Source organism: Homo sapiens, chromosome 19 (genome assembly GCF_000001405.40).
Source record: "Homo sapiens chromosome 19, GRCh38.p14 Primary Assembly".
Lineage (NCBI taxonomy): Eukaryota > Metazoa > Chordata > Mammalia > Primates > Hominidae > Homo > Homo sapiens.
In genome coordinates, this window is record NC_000019.10 from 39,962,824 (window position 1) to 39,984,819 (window position 21,996).

At 46.6% G+C, this 21,996-nt stretch overlaps 1 protein-coding gene and 1 long non-coding RNA gene across 4 annotated transcripts, besides 3 other annotated features; one reads left to right on the forward strand and one right to left on the reverse strand.

Annotated features, from left to right (window-relative positions):
- Window positions 1-1,434: 1,434 nt before the first annotated feature.
- LOC124904720 (uncharacterized) lies at window positions 1,435-8,148 on the reverse strand. Of its 2 annotated transcripts, XR_007067260.1 has the most exons (3): window positions 8,057-8,148; window positions 7,531-7,613; window positions 1,435-2,409 (listed from the first exon to the last, which is right to left on the reverse strand). It is a non-coding gene; the product is annotated as an uncharacterized LOC124904720 (long non-coding RNA). The 2 variants fall into 2 exon arrangements; XR_007067259.1 differs by lacking the exon at window positions 1,435-2,409 and having other exon boundaries at window positions 7,408-7,613.
- Window positions 7,662-7,711: an enhancer, noted in NCBI's record as "active region_14634". NCBI's record gives its function as "activates an Ori minimal core promoter by ATAC-STARR-seq in GM12878 lymphoblastoid cells {active_cell/tissue: GM12878}" and the evidence as "EXISTENCE:reporter gene assay evidence [ECO:0000049][PMID:35858748]".
- Window positions 8,212-8,601: an enhancer, noted in NCBI's record as "active region_14635". NCBI's record gives its function as "activates an Ori minimal core promoter by ATAC-STARR-seq in GM12878 lymphoblastoid cells {active_cell/tissue: GM12878}" and the evidence as "EXISTENCE:reporter gene assay evidence [ECO:0000049][PMID:35858748]".
- On the forward strand, window positions 8,342-18,941 carry PSMC4 (proteasome 26S subunit, ATPase 4). Of its 2 annotated transcripts, none has more exons than NM_006503.4 (11): window positions 8,342-8,415; window positions 9,323-9,421; window positions 9,546-9,732; window positions 11,471-11,617; window positions 11,701-11,810; window positions 11,912-12,005; window positions 16,994-17,161; window positions 17,247-17,323; window positions 17,463-17,631; window positions 17,839-17,894; window positions 18,369-18,941. In NM_006503.4, the coding sequence occupies exons 1-11, from the start codon at window positions 8,380-8,382 to the stop codon at window positions 18,480-18,482; spliced, it is 1,257 nt and encodes a 418-aa protein (NP_006494.1). In that variant the 5' UTR covers window positions 8,342-8,379; the 3' UTR covers window positions 18,483-18,941. The 2 variants fall into 2 exon arrangements, with proteins under 2 accessions (NP_006494.1, NP_694546.1); NM_153001.3 differs by having other exon boundaries at window positions 9,639-9,732.
- Window positions 8,626-9,305: an enhancer, noted in NCBI's record as "H3K27ac-H3K4me1 hESC enhancer chr19:40477356-40478035 (GRCh37/hg19 assembly coordinates)". NCBI's record gives its function as "activates a minimal SCP1, AML or CMV promoter by ChIP-STARR-seq in naive H9 embryonic stem cells {active_cell/tissue: H9 hESC(naive)}" and the evidence as "EXISTENCE:reporter gene assay evidence [ECO:0000049][PMID:30033119]".
- Window positions 18,942-21,996: the final 3,055 nt, after the last annotated feature.

Consider the following 21,996-nt stretch of genomic DNA (forward strand, 5'->3'; position numbering starts at 1 on the left):
AGAAAGATGTCTAGGAGATGCCCAAATATTTGGAAATTAATCACTCACTTCTAAATAATCCAGGAGTCAAAGAAGAAGTATTAAGAAGAAATAGAAAATATTTTTCACTTAATGAAAATAAAATATAACAAAATGTATGTAAGCAATTAAGGCAGTTTTTAGGGGGTAAATTTATATTAGCAAACACATATGTCATGAAAGAAAATCTCAAATCTAACCCTCCACGTTAATATTGTAGAAAAAGAAAAGTAAATGAAATCCAAAGCACTGAAGGAAAAAGAAAATAAAGAGCAGAAATCAATGAAATTAAAAACAGGAAAAATCAATGAAACCAAAAATTTTCCTTATGAAAGGTCAATACAACTAATAAACCTCTAACCAGACGAACCAAGAAAAAAACAGAGAAGACAAAAATTACCTATATTAGGAATGATAGAAGAGATATCACTACAGTATCTATAAATTTTACAACTTACATGTAATAGATCAGTCCCTTGAAAGATACAAACTACCACAATTCACCAAAGATGAACAAGATAAAGAGGTCTTAGAACTATTAAAGAAATTAAATTTATAGTTAAATATCTTCCCCCGAAAATCTCTAGGCCCAGTTTTATTGGAGAATGTTATCAAGTATTATTGAAAGAAATAACATGAATTCTAAAAAATTCTCTTTCAGAAAATATAAGAGGAGAAATACTTTCCAATTTGTTTTATGAGGCTAGCATTGCCTTGATACCAGAAGCCAAAGACACTACAATGAAAGAACACTATAAATCAGTATCCCTCATATTAGCAAATTGAATCTAGCAATATAAAAAGGACAATTCATCATGGTCAAGTAGGGCTTATCCTGGGAATACAAGGTCTGTTCAAAATTTTCTTGACAAAAGTGAACATCTAGCAGGGCGTGGTGGCACACACCTGTAATCCCAGCACTTTGGGAGGCTGAGGCAGGCAGATCACCTGAGGTCAGGAGTTTGAGACCAGCCTAACTAACATTGTGAAACCCTGTCTCTATACTAAAAATGCAAAACTAGCCGGGTGTGGTAGGAGGCACCTGTAATCCCAGCTACTCAGGAGGCTGAGGCAGGAGAATTGCTTGAACCTAGGAGGCGAAGGCTGCAGTTAGCCAAGATGGCACCACTGTACTCCATCCTAGGTGACAGAGCAAGGGTTCATTTCAAAAAAAAAAAAGTGAACATCCATTCAGGGTTTAAAAAAAAAAAACCAACTCAGCAAACTAAGAAGAGAAAGAAACTTCCTTAATCTGCTAAAAGGGCATTTTGAAAGACACTTAATGTTAGAAGTCTAAATGCTTTCCACCAAAGATTGAGAACAAAGAAAAGAATGTTTGCATTCACCACTCCTAGTCAATATTGTACTGAAAGTCCTGGCCGATGTAATAAGTAGGAAAAGGAAACAAAAGTAATGTCGATTGAAAAGGAAGAAAAATAAAACTGTCTTTATTCACTAATGACATAGTTGTCACAAAAAAAACTCCAGGAAATCTACAGAAACTCCTAAAACTAATAAATGATTTTTACAAGATCACAGAATAATGTGCAAAAGTCAATCATATTTTTAAGCATAAGGAAACAAAAATCAGAAATTTAAAAAATTTTAATAACATTTATAATATCATAAAATATGAAATACATAGGGATAACCTGACAAAAGATTTACAAGACCTATACACTGAAAACTAAAAAACATTGCTGGTAGAAGTTAAGGAATGGCTAAATAAATTGGGAGATTGCCGGGCGTTGGTGGCTCACGCCTGTAATCCCAGCACTTTGGGAGGCCGAGGCAGGCGGATCACGAGGTCAGGAGATCGAGACCATCCTGGCAAACACGGTGAAACCCCGTCTCTACTAAAAATACAAAAAATTAGCCAGGTGCGGTGGTGGGCGCCTGTAGTCCCAGCTACTCGGGAGGCTGAGGCAGGAGAATGGCGTGAACCTGGGAGGCAGAGCTTGCAGTGAGCCGAGATAGCGCCACTGCACTCTGGCTTGGGTGAAAGAGCGAGACTCCCTCTCAAAATATAAATTAAATAAATAAATAAATAAATAAATAAATAGGGAGATATACCAGGTTCATAGATTATAAGATTTAATGCTGGCCGGGTGCGGTGGCTCACGCCTGTAATCCCAGCACTTTGGGAGGCTCAGGTTGGGGGATCACGAGGTCAGGAGATCAAGAACATCCTAGCCAACAGGCCTAGCCAATATGGTGAAACCCCGTCTCTATTAAAAATACAAAAATTAGCCGGGTGTGGTGGCGCACGCCTATAGTCTCAGCTACTCGGGAGCCTGAGGCTGGAGAATCTCTTGAAACCGGGAGGCGGAGGTTGCAGTGAGCCGAGATTGTGCCACTGCACTCCAGCCTGACAACAGAGTGAGACTCCATCTTTAAAAAAAAAAAAAAAGAAAAAAGAAAGAAAATTAGATCAACAGAACAGAATCAAGAGTCCACAGATAGATGTACACACATGCATAATCAACTGATTTTTGACAAAGCTGCAGGGCATTTCAGTGGGAAAAGATAATGTTTTCAATAAATGGTACTGGAGCGACTGGGTATTCACATGCAAAAAGATGAAACTTCGGCCAGGCACAGTGGTTCAGGCCTGGAATCCCAGCACTTTGGGAAGCCGAGGCAGGTAGGTGGATCACCTGAGGTCAGGTGTTCGAGACCACCCTGGCCAACATGGTGAAACTCCATCTCTACTAAAAATACAAAAATTAGCCGAGCGTGGTGGCAGGCACCTGTGATCCCAGCCACTCCAGAGGCTGAAGGAGGAGAATCGCTTGAACCTTGGAGGCAGAGGTGCAGTGGGCTGAGATCGCACCACTGCACTCCAGCCTGGGCGGCCGAATGAGACTCTGTCTCAAAAACAACAACAACAAACTCGAAATGGAACATAGATGTAAATGTGAAATATCGAGCTATCAAACTTCTTCTTCGCCCCCCAAAGTGCTGGGAATACAGATGTGAGCCACCACACCCAGCCAATCGAACTATCAAACTTCTGAAGAAAACATTTAAAAAAACTTTGTGAGTTTTCACCAGGCTAAGGTTTTTAAAAATACAACACCAACAGCATGATTCATAAAAGAAAAAATTGATAAATTGGACTTAGAATCCACAGTGGTACATGCCACCATGTCAGGCTAATTTTTGTATTTTTAACAGAGACGGGTTTCACCATGTTGGCCAGGCTGGTCTCAAACTTCAGACCTCAAGTGATCCACCTGCCTCAGCCTCCCAAAGTACTAGGATTACAGATGTGAGCCATTACACCCGGCCTTTTTTTCAAATTTCTAAGAAAAGAGATTTTTTTTTTTTGAGATGGGAGTCTTGCTCTGTCTCCAGGCTGGAGTGCAATGGTGCCATCTTGGCTCACTGTAACCTCCGCCTCCCAGGTTCCAGCAATTCTTCTGCCTCAGCCTCCCGAGTAGCTGGGATTACAGGCACACGCCACCACGCCCAGCTAATTTTTTGTATTTTTTAGTAGAGACTGAGTTTTACCATGCTGGCCAGACTGGTCTCGAACTCCCGACTGCAGGTGATCCACTCGCCTCGGCCTCCTAAAATGCTGGGATTACAGGCGTGAGCCACTGCACCCGGCCCAAATCACTGTATTTTGGAAAAGATAAGTTCAAAAATTAGCCGGGCGTGGTGGCAGACACCTGTAATCCTAGCTACTTGGGAGGCTGAGGCAGGAGAATCACTGGAACCCAGGAGGCAGAGGTTGCAGTGAGCCAAGATTGTGCTATTGCCCTCCAGCCTGGGTGACAGAGGGAGACTGGGTCTCAAAAAAAAAAAAAAAAAGAAAAAAGAAAAGAAAAGTTCATTGATCCTAGCCCTTGCCTCTGCCCGTGTGTAGGAAAATATCGAAGAGGATTAATGATTATGTGTCACACCCAAACCTTGATGGGATTTTGCTCTCATGTAACTTCTGAGAACATGAGCTGCAGCCACCTGTATAAAAACCGCAGGCTGAAACCCTCCGGAGCAGTCCAACGGTTACTTTGAAAGACTCTCCCAGGTTGTGATCCTCAGTAAGACTTCTGAATCAAACTAACTTTAATTCTCTAAAAGTAGGTTTTTCTCTTTCCTTTTTTTTTTTTTTTTTTTTTTTTGAGACAGGGTCTCTCACTCTGTCGCCCATGCTGGAGTGCAGTGGCACAATCTTGGCTCACTGGCAGCCTTGACCTCCTAGGCTCAAGTGATTCTCCCCCCTGAGCCTCCTGAGTGGCTGGAACTACGGGCGCACGACCATGCTGGGTTAATTTTTATAAACATTTTTTGGTCTCACTATGTTGCCCAGGGTGGTCTTGAGCTTCTGGGCTCAAGCAACCCTCCTGCCTGCACCTCCCAAAGTGCTGAGATGATTATAGGAGCAGGAATGAGCACTTGGCCTGATTTTTGTCTTAGTTGACAATAGTCAGTGTTCAGGAAATGGTTATTTATGATTATTATCCATAAAAATTCCAAAGGGATACACTGATTTGTCATTACCAAAGGGGCCAGAGAGAACCTGGCAATTATTTGGGCTTAGGGGAATAAAGGCAAAGCTCTCAGATGAGTTTCAGTCTGAAGCCTGGAAACAGGGAGGATGGGAGGCCAGGGGCAAGATGATGGATTCCATTTTAAGTAATAGATTCTAAGTCTCAAGTAAAAATCAAGGTTGCCTTTTGGGTGTAAGGTAGAAACCTGGGATACAGAATTAAGAATTGCCCATGTTAGGCACGGTGGCTCACGCCTATAATCCCATCACTTTTCGAGGCTTGGGAGGGTAGATCACTTGAGGTTAGGCATTTGAGACTAGCCTGGCCAGCATGGCGAAACTCCGTCTCTACTAAAAATACAAAAAATTACCCAGGTGTGGTGGCCCACGCCTGTAGTCCCAGCTGCTCCAGAGGCTGAGGCATGAGAATCACTTGAACCTGGGAGGCAGAGTTGCAGTGAGCCGAGACTGTGCCACTGCACTCCAGCCTGGGCGCCAGAGCAAGGCTCTGTCTCAAAAAAAAAAAAAAAACTTACAGAATTAAGAGTTGCTCATGCAGAGGAAAACAAAAAGATTTATTGTCATTGTCGTTTTCCTTTTTTTTGTGGAAACACAGACACTAGGACTTTAAGAAAGGCAGGAGCCAGATCTAATGAATCTCTGGGTTCTCCCAGCAGAGTGATCCTCCCTACTCAGTGATCTCCACTGAGCAGGAGCCACCAATTCTCTTTGTAACTTAATGGAAGTGGCTTTCCCCTGTCTGCACCTCAGTTTCATTTGTAAAATGAGGAAAAGCAAACCTACCTCTGAGGGCTGTTATGAGATCATGGTTTGGAATTTTCCTGGCCAAAAGTGAATGCGCAAGTGGTGTCTCGTGTGACAACCCATGATCCATCCACCAAATAGAAAACAATGTCCAAACACACAAAATATCAAGAGTATACATACAAATGGTGGGAGTGTAAATTAATACAGTCTGACAGTGTCTACTAAAGCTAAACACATACCTGCCCTACGACCAGCAATTCCACACTTGGGTCTATTTTGTTTTTGTTTTTGTTTTTCTTTGGGAGGGGGATCTATTTTCAGAAGAAATGAATACGTAAGTTTGTCCAAAGAAATGTACTAGAATATTCATAGTGAGAGACAGGACTAGCTGGATTTCCTAGGCCGACTAAGAATCCCTAAGCCAACTGGGAAGGTGACCGCATCCACCTTTAAACAAGGGGCTTGCCACTTAGGTCACACCCAACCAATCAGGTAGTAAAGAGAGCTCACTAAAATGCGAATTAGGCAAAAACAGAAGGTAAAGAAATAGCCAATCATCTAACGCCTGAGAGCACAGAGAGAGGGACAATGATCGGCGGGATATAACCCAGCACTGGAGCCCGCAAGGCAATCCCCTTTGGGTCTCCTCCCATTTTATGGGAGCTCTGTTTTCACTCTATTAAACCTTGCAACTGTACACTCTTCTGGTCTGTGTTTGTTATGGCTTGAGCTGAGCTTTCGCTCACTGTCCACCGCTGCTGTCTGCTGCCATGGCAGCTGTGGCAGACCTGCCGCTGACTTCCACCCCTCCGGATCCGGGTGTCCACTGCACTTCTGATCCAGCGAGGCGGCACCCATTGCCGCTCCCAATTGGGCTAGAGGCTCACCATTGTTCTTGCGCGGGCTAAGTGCCCGGGGTTCCTCCTAATCGAGCTGAATAGAGCTATAACACTCACCGCATGGCCCAAGATTCCATTCCTTGGAATCCGTGAGGCCAAGAACCCCAGGTCAGAGAACAAGAGACTTACTGCCATCTTGGAAGCGGCCCACCACCATCTTGGGAGCTCTAAGAACAAGGACCCCCAGTAACAATAGCACTATAACACCCCTAAACTGGAAAATATCCAGTCTGAGGTATAGGGCATAGTCATAAAATGGAAACCATCCAGAATGAAAATGAAAGAACTATTTCTACACACGGTATGCATGAATCTCACAAAAACAACATTAACTAAAAGAAACCAAACACAGTACACAGAGTACTGGTCTAGAGAGAAGGAGAATTCAAAACAAACAAAAGTAACCCAGCTGTTACAAGTCAGGGCGAGTCCAGCCAGGCACAGTGGCTCATGTCTGTAATCCCAGCACTTTGGAAGGCTGAAGTGGGAGGATCATCTGAGTCCAGGAGTTCGTGACCAGCCTGGGCAACACAGCGAAACCCTATCTCTACAAAAAACATTTTAAAATTAGCAAGGCGTGGTGGCACACGCCTGTAGTTCCAGGTGCTTGGGAAGCTGAGGTATAGGATTGCTTGAGTCTGGGAGGTTGAACCTGGAGTGAGTAGTGATCTCACCACTGCACTCCAGCCTGGGCAACAGAGCAAGAATCTCTTTCAAAAGATATATTTTTAAAGGCTACATGGGGTGGGTCATGCCTGTAATCCCAGTGCTTTCAGAGGCTGAGGAGAGAGGATAGCTTGAGGCCAGCAGTTGGAGACTCTAGTGAGCTATGATCGTGCCACTGCACTCCAGCCTGGGCGACAGAGACTCTAGCTCTTAAAAAAAAAAGAAAAAAACAGATGAATGATAACCTTTAGAAGGGATCGGGAGGCCGGATGTGGTGGCTCACGCCTATAATCCCAGCACTTTGGGAGGCCAAGGCAGGCAGATCACTTGAGGTCAGGAGTTTGTGACCGGCCTGGCCAACATGGTGAAACCCTGTCTCTACTAAAAATACAAATATTAGCCTGGGCAACAGAGTGAGACTCCGTCTCGGGGCGGGGAGTGGAGGGGGGAGAAGAAGGGATGGGGGAAAGGGGAGCACATGAGGCTTCTACTGTTTGGTTTTGCGATCTGGATTCAGGTTGTATGGGCATGTTCACTTTGTGTAATTTTGTCGAGCTGTAATGATTTGTGCTCTTCTCTTTATTTAACTTCAATAAAAGGTTTACTTAACAAAAATTGTAGCTGGTGTGAAGGGTAGCAGTGTTTCCCTGGGGCCAAGAGTACAGGCTTTGGGGACAGACAGACCTGGGTCCCAATCTATGCTTTGTCCCTTCGGCACATTGTTGACTGTGGCTGGTGGCTTCGTGGCTCTGAGCTTGTCTCCTTCTCTATAAATGAGGAAACATAATACTTGCGACGATGATGCCTGTAAAGCTTAAGCGCAGGACCTGGCATAGATCTGTAAGGCGGAAACCTGGGATACAGAACTAAGGTCTATGGATCTCCTGTGCTACCCAACTTCTGGGCACTCGCTGCCTCCTTTTCCCCAGCCCAGACGCGTGGGTTCTACTCGATTGGTTGCTCACTGCGGGCTCGGGGCTCCTCAATCCCGGGGTAAAGCCCAGTATGAAATGTCACCTTCAGGGGCAGCTCGGATCTTCCCACGCCCGCGCGGCGCACAATCTTTGGATCAGCGCCACGTGGAGACCTTACCCGCCCGTACGATCAATCCCTTCTGTGGAACCCAGCTCAAGGACCCTCCAGCCCAGACACTAGAAAGCGAAGAGCAGTTGGCCGCCAGACTGTCCGTGCCAGAGCTCTGCGAACTTACTCCGTTGAAAGAGCAACGGGGCTGCGCCACCTCCCGGAGAGAACCCCCAGCCCTCCACGGCAGGGCGAGATGGCGCCACCGCGTGATACTGCGCACGCCCACAGCTCCCGTCCCGCCCTCGCGCCTGCGGGTACGGACAGCGCATGAGCTTATGTTGAGGGCGGAGCCCAGACCAGCCCTTCGTCCTATCCTGCCCTTCCAGCACCTCTCAGCCGTAACTTAAACTACACTTCCCAGAAGCCTCCTCAGCCAGGGACTTCCGTTGTCGTCAGCGGAAGCGGTGACAGATCATCCCAGGCCACACAGAGGCCGGCTTGGTCACTATGGAGGAGATAGGCATCTTGGTGGAGAAGGCTCAGGTACAGTGGGGACTTGGGCTTTTTAGTCCGGGCCGGGCTCGCGGGGAGAGGGTGAAGCCAGACCTGAGTGGGGGGAGGAATGGCTTCCAGGACCCCGGCCCAGGTTGGGGTTATTTTAGAGGCCTCGGTGGAGAGCTTTGTGCCATTCGAAGGCCTGTCTGGGTGGCCGAGTGATGGTAGGAGGTAAGGCTCAGAAAGCGGGGCTGGGGGAGTGAGTGACGTTAGTGGGTCTTTGAGACGGATTGATTTCGAACCCTGGCCGGTAGTGCTTAGTGAGGTCGGTGGCCCGGCGTTGGGATTGGGTCAGGCGGTGAGTGATATATGGGATCCCGCCGTGCGGCCGAGTGATCCCCGGGTCTGGGCTGCGGGGCTGACTGATGTTCAGGGCTTTGCTGATGGGGGTAATGGGGCGGGTAGTTAAGTATTATCTGTGGCTTGCCTGAGTGATATTTAGGTCTAAGGTGAGTTAGGAGACTGTGACATAAGGGATCTTTGAGGGGAAACTGGGGAATGTTGGGACTCGTTGAAGGCGCAGTCACTTTAACAGCCTATCTAGGAGAGCCATGTGACATTAGGAACCTCTTGAAGGGGATTGGGTGGCATTTGGGTCTGATAAGGAGTTGATGTGACGTTTAGATCCTAGTTGGGGGTTGTGTGACACTGGGGACATGTTATGAGTGGTATATGATAACATAAGATCTGTTTGAGGGGCAAGTTGACATAAAGAGCTTGTTTAGGTGGCCAAAAGGTTTCCAGGATCTATTTAGAGGGTCTTAAGATATCAGGGGTCTGTTAGGGGCTAAGTGACATCAGGGTGAAGTGGGGAGGGGAACAAACATTAGTGAAGTTGGGAAGCTTTCATGAGAGGACTGTCTTCTTCCAATGTGAGTTATCCCCTTTCGTCTAGGATGAGATCCCAGCACTGTCCGTGTCCCGGCCCCAGACCGGCCTGTCCTTCCTGGGCCCTGAGCCTGAGGACCTGGAGGACCTGTACAGCCGCTACAAGGTACATTCGACCCCCAACCCAGACCTTGCACAGGACCTGACATCTCATACTCTTCCCCACTTTCCACCACTCTCTGGATCAGCAAGTCTGGAGCCATCCCCTTCTGTCCCCTCTCTGCTCGCAGAAGCTGCAGCAAGAGCTGGAGTTCCTGGAGGTGCAGGAGGAATACATCAAAGATGAGCAAAAGAACCTGAAAAAGGAATTTCTCCATGCCCAGGAGGAGGTGAAGCGAATCCAAAGCATCCCGCTGGTCATCGGACAATTTCTGGAGGCTGTGGATCAGAATACAGCCATCGTGGGCTCTACCACAGGTGTGCTAAGGACACCTCATTCATTCATCTGTCCACTTAACAACTATTTCCTACCATGTGCTAGGCAGCAGCAAACAAGGCAGGGCAGTGCAGTGCAATGTTCTTCAGAGTATTTTGACTGATCGAAAGGTAGAAATACATACATATATATATATATACACATATATATATGTATATCTATGTTTTTTTTGTTTGTTTGTTTTTTGTTTTGAGACAGAGTTTTGCTCTTGTCCAGGCTGGAGTGCAATGGCATGATCTCGGCTCACTGCAACCTCCACCTCCCAGGTTCACACGATTCTCCTGTCTCAGCCTCCCAAGTAGCTGGGATTACAGGCATGGACCACCAAGTCTGGCTAATTTTTGTATTATTAGTAGAGACAGGGTTTCACCATGTTGGCCAGTCTGGTCTTGAACTCCTGACCTCAGGCGATCCACCCGCCTCACCCTCCGAAAGTGTTGGGATTACAGGCCTGAGCCCCACTGCACCTGGCCAGAAATGTATTTTACATTGTGATTATCTGTATCTGTCTCTTACTTTTTAGATAGATGTGTAAAACATAAGTTTCACCATGAAATATTTAGCCTTACTAGGTGTGGTATATGCTGATGTTTTCTATCCTATTCTAGTCTGTTTTGCTTTAAACACAGTTCTGGTCATGACCTTCCAAATTGATTTCACAACTACTACTGGTTTGGGGCCTGCAGTTTGAAACGATGAGTAGGAGTGTTAAGAGATTGGGCTCTGAGGCCAGGCATGGTGCCTCACACGTATAATCCCAGTACTTTGGGAGACTCAGGTGGGCAGATCACTTGAGGCCAGAAGTTTGAGACCAGGCTGGGCAACATGGCAAAACCCCGTCTCTACTGAAAATATAAAAATTAGCTGGGTGTGGTGGCACACACTTGCCATCCCAGCTACGCAGGTGGTTGAGGCACAGGATCTGTTGAACCCAGGAGGTGGAGGTTGCAGTGAGCCGAGATCGTGACACTGTACTACAGCCTGGGTGACAGAGCAACACTCTGTCTAAAAAAAAAAAAAAAAAAAAAAATACTGGGCCCTGATAGGGACTCAGAGTCCTTATCAGAGTATATTGTAGCTGCTGCTGTTTATATAGGTCTAGGCCTTGCCCTCTTGATAGTCATTGTCACTGGCATCTTATCTGTTTTTTCTTGTTTCTGGGCTCTGCTCCTCTGGACCAAGCCATGTTCTTGTAAAGGTTTTGGAGAAAGGTGTGCGATTGTGCCTGGAATTGGACTGGTGGGCTATGAGGAAGTGAGGAGAGGGTGGTATCCAGGATGAGGCCTTTCTCTTTGACCTGTGGGAGTTGGGATAGTGTGGCTTTCCCTGAGATGGCACCATGGGTAGAGGAGTAGGTTTGTGGGAAGACAGGGAGGGCAGTCCAGAGCACATGGGAGGTGTCCAGGAGGCTGCTGGTCAGCCAGGTCTGACAATCAGGAGAGAGACTGAGCCTGGAAACAGAAGTGTGCCTCACTAGTATGAGATGCAGGGGGAGGCCTGCTGGACAGCCAGGGCTGGATGTCAAGAGAGAATCAGGGCGGTAGACAAGGAGTTCGTGTGAATACTGGGGACGGACAGCAGGAGGGAAGGCTGGAGGCCGAGAGGGGACCCCTCAGGGTCTGAACCAGAGATGTTGGGGTGTGGAGATTAGGAGGGAGGAAGGGGGAAGGGGCAGTTTCCAGGCTGACACTTCTCGTTTTCCTCTCTCCCTTCTCGCAGGCTCCAACTATTATGTGCGCATCCTGAGCACCATCGATCGGGAGCTGCTCAAGCCCAACGCCTCAGTGGCCCTCCACAAGCACAGCAATGCACTGGTGGACGTGCTGCCCCCCGAAGCCGACAGCAGCATCATGATGCTCACCTCAGGTAAAGGGGGAGCCTGCAGCTGGGAGGGCCCCATGGGGACCTTGAGGACCTGGCCAGGAGCCCCAGCTCTGCTCTCCCACCAGACCAGAAGCCAGATGTGATGTACGCGGACATCGGAGGCATGGACATCCAGAAGCAGGAGGTGCGGGAGGCCGTGGAGCTCCCGCTCACGCATTTCGAGCTCTACAAGCAGGTGAGGCGGTGCAGGTGGCAGGGAAGGGAGAGGCCCCATTGGGTCTGGGGTTGGAGGTGGAACCCCTGACTCCCACTTCTCTTCCTTCCTCTGGGTTTCAGATCGGCATCGATCCCCCCCGAGGCGTCCTCATGTATGGCCCACCTGGCTGTGGGAAGACCATGTTGGCAAAGGCGGTGGCACATCACACAACAGGTGAGCCCTTTCGCCCCTGCCCCGAGCTCTCATCTTCTGGCCTCTTCGCCTTGCTCCCTGCTCGCTCACTGGCACTGCACAGTAATTAGAAACAGACTCTGGGGTCATAGCCCACGTGTGCATGTTACTGGCTGTGCTGACTTCACCTCCTTGGGCCTCTCCTAGTAGTTGAAGACTCATTTCACCCGGTGATAGTGAGCAGTTAATGAAATAATGCAGTGTTTTCCTACAATGGGTTGTGACCTATTAGTAATTATGAATTTCAATTTGTGGGTTGCAGCCAGTATTTTGAAACATGAAATAGAACAGAAAGCGCCAGAGAACATCCACATGGTATTTATACCATGGTACAAGTATATATGGTGCAAGTTCATCTGTTTCGTGAAACTTGTTTCATACAGATGTGCACACTCATGTATACTTGTGGTTCTTCAAAAATATATATATATATTTTAATTCTTAAATTTTTTTGTAGAGATAGGGTCTCACTCTGTTGCCCAGGCTGGTCTTGAACTCCTGGGCTCAAGGGATCCTCCCACAGTGCTGGGATTACAGGCGTGAGCCATGTGCCTGGCCCCAAAAATGTATTTCTTATTGTAGGTGCCAGACAAAAATGTCTGAAAGTCACTCACTCTATAACTTTTTTTTTTTTAAAGCCCTAAAATCTTAAGCATATGTTCAGATCTTAACACATGTGAGCCAGGGAGCAGTAGGAGGTAGTAGTTAAGCAGTATGTTTTCTGGGGCTAGACTGCCTGGCTTTGAAATCTTACTCCCCCAGCAACTTCTTATGTGATCCTGGGTAAATTAACCTCTCTGTGACTCAGTTTCCTCACCTGTCAGATGGAAACAATCATAGTACCTATTTTTCTAGGGTGGGTGTTCAGAAGAGCAAATTGATACAAAGCATCTGGAATGGGCAATAAATGTTAGCTGTTGTCATTGTTACTCATTTGCTTGGTACTTTATTGAACTTTTACTCTGTACCAAGCCTTGTGCTGGAATGCAAAGATGACAATCAGAGATGTCCCTTGCCTTGACTGGGAAAAAAGAAAAAGACACCTAGAACTCAGTCATTCAGTGACTGTTTATTGAACACCCACTATGTGCCAGGATGTGTTGTAGATGCTAGAGACATGGGCCAGGCGCGGTGGCTCACGCCTGTAATCCCAGCACTTTGGGAGGCCGAGGTGGGAGGATCACGAGATCAGGAGATCGAGACCACAGTGAAACCCCGTCTCTATTAAAAATACAAAAAAATTAGCCAGGTGTGGTGGCGGTCGCCTGTAGTCCCAGCTACTTGGGAGGCTGAGGCAGGAGAATGGTGTGAACCCAGGAGGCGGAGCTTGCAGTGAGCCCAGATCACGCCACTGTACTCCAGCCTGGGCGACAAAGCAAGACTCCATCTCCAAAAAAAATATATATATATATATATATATATATTAATTAGCTGGGCGTGGTGGCCAGCGCCTGTAGTCCCAGCTACTCAGCGTGAACCCGGGAGGCGGAGCTTGCAGTGAGCCGAGATGGCGCCACTGCACTTCAGCCTGGGTGACAGAGTGAGACTCCGTCTCAAAAAAAAAAAAAAAAAAAAAAGAATAGAGACGTGGCAGTAAACAGAACACCTCCTTATGGAGGTGATGTCTTAGTTGGAAATGTGGCCCGACACAGATTCGTAAAGTTTCTTTTTTTTTTTTTTGAGATGGAGTCTTGCTCTGTCATCCAGGCTGGAGTGCAGTGGTGCGATCTCGGCTTACTGCACGCTCTGCCTCCCAGGTTCACACCATTCTCCTGCCTCAGCCTCCTGAGTAGCTGAGACTACAGGCACCCGCCACCACGCCCGGCTAATTTTTTGTATTTTTTAGTAGAGACGGGGTTTCACCGTGTTAGCCAGGATGGTCTAGATCTCCTGACCTCATGATCCGCCCGCCTGGGCCTTCCAAAGTGCTGTGATTACAGGCGTGAGCCACCGCACCCAGCCCGTAAACCTTCTTAAAACATGAGATTTTTTGTGTGTGATTTTTTTTTTTTTTTTTTTTTGAGACAGAGTCTCACTCTGTAGCCCAGGCTGGAGTGCAGTGGTGCTATCTTGGTTCACTGCAACCTCTGCCTTCTGGGTTCAAGCGATTCTCCTACCTCAGCCTCCCGAGTGGCTGGAATTACAGGTACATGCCACCACATCTGGCTAATTTTTTTTGTACTTTTGGTAGAAATGGGGTTGCACCATGTTGGCCAGGCAGGTCTCGAACTCCTGGCCTCAGGTGATCCACCCACCTTGGCCTCCCAAAATTCTGGGATTACAGGCGTGAGCCACTGCACCCGGCTGTGATTTTTTTTTTTAAGCTCATCACCTATCATTAGTGTTAGTGTATTTTATGTGTGGCCCAAGACAGATCTTCCAGTGTGGCCCTGTGTACCCTTCACCCAGATTCCCTAATGTTACTATCTTATGTAACCATAGTATAATTAGGAAAACCAGGAAATTAACAGTGGTACAATACAATGAACTAAAGTTTAGACCTCCTTCAAAGTTTACCAGCTTTTCCCACTAGAGACCCTCACTTCAGGTTCTGTCGTTTTTCTGAGTGAATTGGGGTGGTTTGTCACTGGCAGAGGGAGGGAAGAGAGAAGGTGTAGAAGGGATGTAGAAATGGGAAAAGCTGCTGACTGGGGTTGAGTTTTGTTTTGTTTTCTAGAGACAGGGTCATGTCTGGCAAGGCGCGGTGGCTCACGGCTATAATCTCAGCACTTCAGGAGGCCGAGGTGGGCAGATCACGAGGTCAGGAGTTCGAGACCAGCCTGGCAAACATAGTGAAACCCCATCTCTACTAAAAATACAAAAAAATTAGCCAGGCATGGTGGTGGGCGCCTGTAATCCCAGCTACTCGGGAGGCTGAGGCAGGAGAATTGCTTGAACCCAGGAGGCCAAGGTTGCAGTGAGCGAAGATCGCACCATTGCACTCCAGCCCGGCCAATAGTGCGAGATTCTGTTTCCAAAAAAAAAAAGAGAGATAGGGTCTTGTTCTGTCACCCAGGCTGGAGTGCAGTGGTGTGATCATAGCCCACTGCAACCTTAATCTCCTGGGCTCAAGCAATCCTCCCCACCTGTCTCTCCTAAGTAGGTGGGACTACAGGCGTGTGCCACCATGCCCAACTAATTTTTGTATCTTCATTTTCAGTAGAGACAGGGTCTTGCTATGTTGCCCAGGCTGGTCTTGAACTCCTGGGCTCAAGCCATCCTCCTGCCTCAGCTCCCCAAAGTGTTGGGATCACAGGTGTGAGCCTTTTTTTCCTCTTGTTTTTCGGGGGGAATTCATCTATTTGTTCCGGTGACAGCACAGCTTACTAAGAGTGAGTAACTGAAGCAGGAGCCCATTCCAGGATAGGTGGAAGGAGTAGTAGAGCCCAGGGGGAGCTGAGAGATTGGGAGGACAGGGAAGGTTGGGGTAGGAAGGGGACTGTAGTGATTGAGTAGGAAAGGCTGACGGACAGGCTCGGTCAGATAAGGCAATTCCAGGGATGGGGGTTTCATGTGGAACTGGTTGGACATTTGCAGAACAGCCAAGTAAATGGCCAAAGTCAGGTGGTCAAGGTGTGTTTTCTGTTTAGAGCAGAAAAAGTCAGAAATCTTGAGGTTAGGATGCTGAATGAGCCCCCAGCTGATGCAAGTATCAAGAAAGAGGGACCCCTTGAGCCAGGTGTAAAGTCTGGATCTTAGGGAGTGAACAGGGCAGGGCTGAAGCCTTGAACAGTTCCTAGCTTATGACATAAAACCACTCAGTCTATCTATGGACTGCATGTCTCCCTTCTCTGGTGGCTGGAAGGAGAGTCCTGGGGGTATGCTTCATACAACACAAAGCATCTGATCCTTAAGAAACAAGTGTAACTTTAAGAAACAAGGCCAGGGTCAAGCATGGGGTGGCTCATGTCTATAATCCCAGCACTTTGGAAGGCTAAGCCAGGAGGATCGCTTGAGGCCAGGAGTTTGAGACCAGCCTGAGCAATATAGCAAGACCCCATCTCCTCAAAAATTTTAAAAAGCTAGGTGTGGGGACATGCCTATAGTCCTAGCTACTCGGGAGGCTGAAGAGGGAGGATTGCTTGAGCCCAGGAGATTGAGGCTGCAGTAAGCTATGATGATACCACTGTACTCCAAGTCCAAAGGGAGGGCCCAGAACAAATCTGTCTTCAACCCCATTGCCAATTGTCAGTTATATCAGAACATGCCCGTGGTCCCTGATCTTTTTCAGGAAATTAAAAAGCTGGTCCTTATAGCAAACAGGAACTCAGAGCTCTTGGCGAGGCAGTATGATGTCTTAGTGTATGGGCAGCATGCCTGTTTTCTTGCTGATTTTGCAAGTGCTCCAGAAATGTAGACTGGTTTTTTTCTTTCTTATTTTAGTATTTCATATCCTGATTTTTAAATGTTGGGCCAAAAAAATGACACATCTGGCTGGACATGGTGGCTCATGCCTGTAATCCCAGAACTTTGGGAGGCTAAGGCGGGCAGATCACTTGAGGTCAAGAGTTCAAGACCAGCTTGGCCAACATGGTGAAACCTCGTCTCTACTAAAAATACAAAAATTAGCTTGGCATGGCAGTGCACGCCTGTAATTCCAGCTACTCGGGAGGCTGAAGCAGGAGAATCACTTGAACCCTGAAGGCAGAAGTTGTGGTGAGCCGAGATTGTGCTACTGCACTCCAGCCTGGGCGACAGAGCAAGACTCTGTCTCCAAAAAAAAAAAAAAAGTGACACATTTGTAAGGATGATTCATGATTTAGGCCACTGGGTCACTGTGGGGTACAAGTAGATGGCTATTCCTCAGGGCTGGATGTGGGGCTCACCCTTGGGCATGAGGGAATGACACAACTACTAGGTATGGGTATCCAAGGAAAAGGATGTCTTCAAGGAATTCGCAGTTTCTGTTAAAGCAGAATGGGCCCCTCAGGAGGCTCATTCCCGCCTAACTGTTGTCATCCTGTCATCAGCTGCATTCATCCGGGTCGTGGGCTCGGAGTTTGTACAGAAGTATCTGGGTGAGGGCCCCCGCATGGTCCGGGATGTGTTCCGCCTGGCCAAGGAGAATGCACCTGCCATCATCTTCATAGACGAGATTGATGCCATCGCCACCAAGAGATTCGATGCTCAGACAGGGGGTAAGTGATGCTGAAACAAGGCCCGGGGTCTTGGACAGGCTTGTCGCATGGGATGCCTGGGACTGACTGTGCTGTGCACTCTCAGCCGACAGGGAGGTTCAGAGGATCCTGCTGGAGCTGCTGAATCAGATGGATGGATTTGATCAGAATGTCAATGTCAAGGTTTGGGGTTTGGGATGGACAAGGGGAGGTGTGGTGTAGGAACTGGGGAAAGTTGGGGGCTGGCACCTAAGGGGTGGTTATCGTGACAGGAAGGAGGTAGGAGTGCAGAGATCTGAGCTGGCCTGCCCCCCAATGTCAGGTAATCATGGCCACAAACAGAGCAGACACCCTGGATCCGGCCCTGCTACGGCCAGGACGGCTGGACCGTAAAATTGAATTTCCACTTCCTGACCGCCGCCAGAAGAGATTGATTTTCTCCACTATCACTAGCAAGATGAACCTCTCTGAGGAGGTTGACTTGGAAGACTGTATCCTGCTCCAGAAGTCAGGGAGGGGCCCTAGTTGGGAACGGGGATTAGATCTTCAGCTCAACTTCTGCCAGCACCACAGCCCAGACTGTGCAGGTGGGACCAAGGTCCAGGGAGGAGGGGAGGTGACAGAGATGGCCAAAGATGACTTCCAGCCCCAGGCATTTACCCCATCACACAGGGAATAGTTTCCTTAACTCGCTGCAGATGTGGCCCGGCCAGATAAGATTTCAGGAGCTGATATTAACTCCATCTGTCAGGAGGTAAGTGGTGGTTTCTCTCTGGATCCAGGCAGCGGGTGTGTGAGGACCCTTCTTCTCTGAACCACTCTGCTGCAGTCCTGTCCCCTCATGGCTGCCCTGGGTCGTGGGCGCCATCTCTCTCTTCCTCTACCATCACTAGGGGTGGATAGTACAGGGGTAGTGTTTTTGTGTTTTGCTTTGAGACAGGGACTCACTCTGTCGCCCAGGCTGGAGTGCAGTGGGGCAATCATGACTCACTGCAGTGATCCTCCCACCTCAGCCTCCCAAGTAGCTGGGATTACAGGCGCCCACCACCAGTCTGGCTAATTTTTGTATTTTTTGTAGAGACAGGGTTTCACCATGTTGCCCAGGCTGGTCTCGAACTCTTGGGCTCAAGTGATCTGTATACCTCAGCCTCCCAAAGTGTCGGGATTACAGGTGTGAGCCACTGTGCCCTGCCACAGGAAGTAGATTTTAACTCTCATCCTTCAACAGAGTGGAATGTTGGCTGTCCGTGAAAACCGCTACATTGTCCTGGCCAAGGACTTCGAGAAAGCATACAAGACTGTCATCAAGAAGGACGAGCAGGAGCATGAGTTTTACAAGTGACCCTTCCCTTCCCTCCACCACACCACTCAGGGGCTGGGGCTTCTCTCGCACCCCCAGCACCTCTGTCCCAAAACCTCATTCCCTTTTTTCTTTACCCAGGATTGGTTTCTTCAATAAATAGATAAGATCGAATCCATTTAATTTCTTCTTAGAAGTTTAACTCCTTTGGAGAATGTGGGCCTTGAATAGGATCCTCTGGGTCCCTCTTAATCTGACAGATGAGCAGACGAGGTGCATGGCCTGGGTTGCAGCTTGAGAGAACCAAAATATTCAAACCAGATGACTTCCAAAATGTGGGGAAAGGGATGGAAAATGAACCTGAGATGGAGTCCTTAATCACGGGATAAAGCCCTGTGCATCTCCCTCATTTCCTACAGGTAAAAGACAGTAAAGAAATTCAGGTCACAGGCCTTGGGAGTTCATAGGAAGGAGATGTCCAGTGCTGTCCAGTAGAACTTTGCACAATGATGGATATGTTCTGTGTTCTCCAGTATGGTAGCTGCTCGCCACATGTGGCTAATAAGTACCTGAAATATGGCTAGCATGACTGAGAAACTGAACTTTTTTTTTTTTTTTTTTTTTTTTTTTTTTTGAGATGGAGTCTTGCTCTGTCACCCAGGCTGGAGTGCAGTGGTGAGATCTTGGCTCACTGCAGCCTCTGCCTCCCAGGTTCAAGTGATTCTCCTGCCTCAGCCTCCCGAGTAGCTGGGACCACAGGCATCTGCCACCACACCCGGCTAAATTTTGTATTTCTAGTAGAGACAGGGTTTCACTATATTGGCTAGGCTGGTCTCGAACTCCTGACCTCAAATGATCTGCCTGCCTTGGCCTCCCTAAGTTGTTGGGATTACAGGCGTGAGCCACTGTGCCTGGTCAAGAAATGGAACTCTTACACACTGCTGGTGGGAATGTGAAATGGTAAGCCACTTCGGAAAACAGTTTGACAATTTCTTATGCTAAAAATACACCTATCAGATGATTTAGCCACTTCTAGGTATTTACTTAAGAAAAAATAAGGCATACATCCATATGAAGACTTGTAAATAAATGTTCTCATTATTTTTATTTGAAATAGCTAAAACTGGAAACAACCCAAATATCCATCAGCAAGTGAATGGATAAACAAATTGTAATATTTGTATGCAATATAACACCACTCAGTAATATGAAAATGAACTACTGATGTATGCAAAAACGTGAAATTCAAAATAATTATGCTGAGTGACAGAATCCAGACAACAAATAATACATAATGTATTATTCTATTTACATAAAGTTTTAGAAAATCCAAACTAATCTAAGTAACAAAGCATACCAATGGTATATGGGGCTTGGGGCAGGTGAGACGGATTATAGAGAAAAAAGTAGGAGGTGATAGACATGTTTAGTTTTTTTGCTTGTTTGTTTTTACTGTGGTAATGGTTTTTCAAGTGTGTATGTCAAAACTTATCAAATTGTACCTAATTTATTGTAGTTTTATTGATACCTCAATAAAATTAATAGTTACATACATAAATGTACTTGAAGTTCCACCTAGCACAATAAGGTAAGAAAAAAAATTAAGGCGTGGGACTGGAAAAGAAATGAAACTCTTCATTATTCACAAATGTCATGATTGCATATATGGAAAATCTAAGTCTACACAAAACCTATTAAAATTAAATAGTGAATTTAGCAATGTGGCTAAACAAAGGTCAATATAAAATATTAAATATAAGCCAGGCATGGTGACATGCATCCACAGTCCCAGCTACTCAGGAGGCTGAGGCAGGAGAATTGCTTGAGCCCGGGAGTTCAAGTCCAGCCTGGGCAACACAGCAAGACCCACTGTCTCTGAAAAAAAATCAAATACATATATCAGCAATAAATAAATAGGAAATTAAATTTTAAATTATAACATTTATCAAATAAATTCTTAAGTGCCAAGAATAAATTTAAAATATGAGATATAAATAGTTAAAATTACAGAATATTGACAGAAATCAAAGAAGACAAATAAATGTTGGGATACAACATGTTAATGTATTGGAAGATTACGAGTAAAAATATTAATTCTCCACAAATTGATCTATAAACAACGCAGCGCCAATCAGAATCCCAGCAGTTTTGTCCTGCTGGAAACTGACAAACTGATTCTGAAATATATAAGTAAATGAAAGGCTCAGAAATAGCCAAGAGAATATTTGAAGAAAAAAGCAAAGCTGGAAGACTTACAATACCAAATATCCAGACTGATGGTAAAGCTGTTGTAACTAATGTAGTGTGGTATGGCCTTACCAATGGACAAATCAATGGAACAAAATATGGAGTCCAAAAAGAAAATAATATACTCACTTGATTTCTGACAAAGTTAATCCTGTGGTACACTGGAGTATGAGTGATCTTTTATTAAATGTTGCCTTGTCAACTCTATGTAGATAAAATAAATCTGTGTTACCAGATGAAGAGTTTTTAATTGGGTTGTTCAGGTTATTGGCATGTTGAACAAAGAACTGAACAAAATGCACAGACAAAGAAAAAGCAACAAAAGCAGAGATTTATTGAAGTGAAAGTACACTCCACAGAGTTAGAGAGGGCTCAAACAAGTGGCTCAAAAGTCCAGATTATAATGTTCCTTGGGGATTTTATTAAACTAAAAGAGCATAGTAGCACGCCTAAACGTCCTTTAGAAGCCTCTAACAGGTCATACTCTATAGGAATGAAGAATTCTGCCCAGGACCAATCAGAGGCACCCTGCAAATGAGGGATTCAGAATGAACCAATCACAGGCATTCCCATTGTGACACAGGGGAGGGGAGGTTCAGAGAAGGAGGGCCTTTGGCCTCGTTATTTGGTCACGGAGAGGTGAGGTTTTCCTCTTAGTCCAATTCCAAGAAGTCAGCAGGGGTTGGCCTTAGGTTCCCTGTCTCCAGACTCTATTCTCCTGCCTCATTTGGACCCCTACAATCTAATTGTGAATGTAAAAGGTAAAAAAAGTTTCAAATAATTACGTAGAAGGATAGCTTCATGACCTTTGGTTTGGCAATATTAATCATTTTTTAAAATAGTTTTTTTGTTTGTTTGTTTGTTTTTGAAACAGAGTCTCACTCTGTGGCCCAGGCTGGAGTGCAGTGGCGCAATCTCGGTTCACTGCAACTTCCGCCTCCCAGGTTCAAGCACTTCTCCTGCCTCAGCCTCCTAAGTAGCTGGGATAACAGGCGTGTGCCACCACACCCAGCTAATTTTTGTATTTTTAGTAGAGACGGGGTTTCACCTGACCTCATGATCCGACCACCTTGCCCTCCCAAAGTGCTGGGATTACAGGCATAAGCCACTGCACCTGGCTGGTGGCACACATTCTTTTTTTTTTTTTTTTTTTAAAGACGGAGTTTCACTCTTGTTGCCCAGGCTGGAGTGCAATGGCACGATCTCAGCTCACCACAACCTCCGCCTCCTGGGTTCAAGTGATTCTCCTGCCTCAACCTCCCGAGTAGCTGGGATTACAGGCAGGCGCCACCACGCCCAACTAATTTTG

Excerpts from the sequence above, each read along its gene's own strand:
- PSMC4 (NM_006503.4), top strand. The coding sequence starts at position 8,380 with ATGGAGGAGATAGGCATCTTGGTGGAGAAGGCTCAG. Across the intron at positions 8,416-9,322 it reads TCTTGGTGGAGAAGGCTCAG|GATGAGATCCCAGCACTGTC; the intron begins GTACAGTGGGGA and ends CCTTTCGTCTAG. Across the intron at positions 9,733-11,470 it reads CATCGTGGGCTCTACCACAG|GCTCCAACTATTATGTGCGC; the intron begins GTGTGCTAAGGA and ends CCCTTCTCGCAG.